This window comes from Homo sapiens, chromosome 9 (assembly GCF_000001405.40).
Source record: "Homo sapiens chromosome 9, GRCh38.p14 Primary Assembly".
Lineage (NCBI taxonomy): Eukaryota > Metazoa > Chordata > Mammalia > Primates > Hominidae > Homo > Homo sapiens.
In genome coordinates, this window is record NC_000009.12 from 31,209,682 (window position 1) to 31,211,957 (window position 2,276).

The 2,276-nt window shown below is 35.3% G+C and overlaps 1 annotated feature.

Moving 5' to 3' along the window:
* Nucleotides 867–2,066: an enhancer, noted in NCBI's record as "MED14-independent group 3 enhancer chr9:31210546-31211745 (GRCh37/hg19 assembly coordinates)". NCBI's record gives its function as "activates an origin of replication core promoter dependent on BRD2, BRD4, P300/CBP and CDK7 cofactors, and independent of MED14, by STARR-seq in HCT116 cells {active_cell/tissue: HCT116}" and the evidence as "EXISTENCE:reporter gene assay evidence [ECO:0000049][PMID:35650434]".

Sequence of the window (2,276 nt, forward strand, 5' to 3'; positions counted from 1 at the left end):
CTTTCTGGCGCATGGGAACATCAAAAGCAACCACAGAAAGGCTAGAGGTATAAAGATACGTTTTTATTACTGAAAGCCAGAAATTATTCAGATATTTTGCCTTTGTACAATGATTTTTAAAATTGCTTAATAGTTATCCAAACTCATTCTAGGAACTCTAGCATCAACAACCTATATTACATTTTAGTTTGGTTAATATTTCAAACTGAATAAAATTTAGTCCTTAAATAATTTATTTAGATTTTTGAAAGACATTATTTGAAAACAAATAAAATCATATAACTGATTTATTGAGTAAAAATAGTGTCCTCCAAGATCTTATCAAAAATTTTACACGGGCAAGCCTCCAATAACAACAGCTTTTCACAGAATAGAAAGACACTCAAGTTACTTTCATTTTCTTTAAGTTCAAGCTCATATTTGTTGCTAAATTAGCTATTATTTTTAAAATTATATAATTTTATTTTGTAATATTATTCTTTCATTTTCTTAGAACTATAGAATTATTTGATGGGGTATTGCAATGTGATTCAGTTATTTCTAAAATAGTTTATAATCTTGAATGTTCCAAACAGGCCATCCCAAATTATACTGTCTTCTACCAGGAAACATTAAAGGGCCTTACATCAGTAGCAGCTTTCAGCCCCCATCCTCTCAGTGTAGAACTCTGTTCACAAAAGTTGCCATTCTTGGTATTATGTAATTTTGCCATCCTATCCACAACTGTATCAGTGAAAAACTGTTGACCCAAAGATTACCATCAATAGATTTATGTGGAAGCAGAGATAGGAAGTAGGTAAGTTGCCAAATTGCCTGAGCACTAATGAGATGTGTTTGATAGCTCAAAAAATATTTCAATATTTGAGACTGATCTACAGCTTCTGACTACATTCAAAATAGCATGTAGTGACTTCTCATTGGCCAGTCTAAGCATATATTAAAAAATTACTACTCTCTTTATAAGCAAGCTTATTTGTGCCAGAGAAACCATACCTATGTTTATATTAGAGCATCACGGAAAGCCTGGTTTTTGCTGAAGCCTTAAAACATTGCTGGGGTCATAATTCAGCATAGTAGATGACAGTTTTTAAGATATCTACTTGTCTTTTCAATAAATAGGAAATACTGGTTTAAAGGGAAAGAAACTTCTATACTTTTGCTGCTGAATTTCTTCAATATTGATTCAGGCTGAAAACCAAGCTGATTTTTTTTTGTGTGTGTAGTATCAAAGGACAGCTTACTTGTGAAAATTATAGGATAGGCATAATATCTTAAACATTCAAAATAGCCAGTGCCAGCTTTTATGAGCTGAATTGCATCCCTTCTCTATCCCAAAAAGGTATATTGGAGTTCTAACACCTAGAATTTCAGAATATCACCTTATTTGGATATAGGTTTTTACAGAGGTAATCAGCTTAAAATGAGGCAATTACAGTAATCTCTAATTCAGAATGAGAATATGACTCATAAAAAGAGGAATTTTGGTCACAAAATGCTGACAGAGGGATGATAATGCAAAAACACAGAGAGAATGCAAGCAAGGCAGCCCCAGACCCTAGGCTTCAGAACATTCCTGGCTTGAAGGGTTCTCGACCCGCCCCTTCCCACGCAGGAACCCGTCTGCCATTAACGCTGTCCATGGAGCCCAGGCCGTTCATGCGAGATGGTGCCAGCAGGCCTGCAGGATGAGCTGCCCTCACCTCCGCTGGTGCCCCTCCCACACTGGTTGGAACTCAAAGTCTAGAGCTGCACCTCCCCCCTGCAGCCAGAGTCCTCACAGCAGCCACTCCAGATGGACTGTCGCTGCCATCATTTCATTCTATAATTATGTCATTCCCCCACTGATAAGTATTCATAGATAATTATTCCTTTTAACACTAATAATATTCAGGTTATTTCTAGTTGTTTTCATAAACAGTTTGATTGAGAAATAACCCACATATTACAAAATTTACCTTTCAAAAGTGTACAATATAATGGCTTTTGGTTTACTTACAGAGTTATAAAGCAATCACAACTATGCAACTGGAGGATTTTCATAAATCTCTCTAAAGTTGTATTACTATTAGAAATAATAATCCATTCTACCCACTTCTGAGTGCCTTGCAATAACAAATCTACATTGTGTCTTTGTGATTTTGCCTATTATTCACATTTCATTATAAACAGAATAATACAAATATTGCCCTGACGACTGGCTTCCTTCAGTTAACAGTGTTTTCAAGGTTCATCCATGTTGCAGTTTGGGTCAGTAATTTATCTTTTTAATTGCCAAG